The sequence below is a fragment of the Homo sapiens genome, chromosome 3 (genome assembly GCF_000001405.40).
Source record: "Homo sapiens chromosome 3, GRCh38.p14 Primary Assembly".
Classification (NCBI taxonomy): domain Eukaryota; kingdom Metazoa; phylum Chordata; class Mammalia; order Primates; family Hominidae; genus Homo; species Homo sapiens.
Genome location: NC_000003.12, coordinates 190504622 through 190505134, shown reverse-complemented (window position 1 = coordinate 190505134; position 513 = coordinate 190504622). Strand labels below are relative to the sequence as shown.

The window sequence follows — 513 nt, the reverse complement described above, 5'->3', positions numbered from 1 at the left end:
AAAGGAAGTACAACCATGTAACTAGCATTCAGATCAAGAAAATCATACTGCTACAGGCTGCATACTTTTGACTTAATATAATAGTCAATATCTTTATTCCTGTTGGCATTAAATACTTCCCCTTGTAGCTTTTATTCATGCACGCACTATTCCTGGAAACTCATGAGCTATTGAGTCATAACTTGCCTAGAAAATGAGCTTGTTGGTGAATGATAGCTTCTCTTTGGGGAACATGTGTGCTCCCTCAACTGAGAGGTTGTCTTTATTAAGTAAGAGCACTTGAGGTAAACCTTGAGATTATTGGGCCTGAGGCAAATTTGGCTGACTGAATTCCAAGCAGCAAAAGAAAAGCAGCAGTGAGACTTCTGCATCGAATTTTTAAGATGATCTATAATTAACATACTAGTTTGTAATATATTTATAATTGTAACCTGTAAAAGTTAAAATAGCCATTCAGATAGCCCAGATATAGAACCCTGGAGATGGTAAATAGGGGTGGAGATATAGAGAACA

The 513-nt window shown here is 36.6% G+C and overlaps 1 annotated feature.

Annotated features, from left to right (window-relative positions):
* Nucleotides 1-295: a silencer, noted in NCBI's record as "tiled region #15127; HepG2 Repressive non-DNase unmatched - State 7:EnhWF". NCBI's record gives its function as "represses a minimal TATA promoter and a strong SV40 promoter by Sharpr-MPRA in HepG2 cells {active_cell/tissue: HepG2}" and the evidence as "EXISTENCE:reporter gene assay evidence [ECO:0000049][PMID:27701403]".